Genomic DNA, 333 nt, shown 5'->3' on the forward strand with positions numbered 1-333 from the left:
ACACTCTCCTGGGGCCAAGGTGGAGGAGAGGCACCTGACCTGGAGTGATGACAGGGAAGGACTGATGGCACAGCCTAACCTGCACTTTTACTTAAACCTAGGACAGAAGACAAGATGTGGCATGGGTGAAAATTTTCAGGGGACTGTACTTATGATGGTGGAGAGCTGGAGACAGTCTGGGTGATGGCTATTGGGAGGTAGAAAGAGTAGGTGAAATGTGGGTACCCCAGGGAGTGCCAGGTAGCTGTTACGAGCATTGGCTTAGATATATGCGTAGCCATCTGGATCCATCTTAAACACAATGCCGAGGGGAAAAGGTAAGAAATTGAGATC

This window comes from Homo sapiens, chromosome 7 (genome assembly GCF_000001405.40).
Source record: "Homo sapiens chromosome 7, GRCh38.p14 Primary Assembly".
In the NCBI taxonomy this organism is placed as follows: Eukaryota; Metazoa; Chordata; class Mammalia; order Primates; family Hominidae; genus Homo; species Homo sapiens.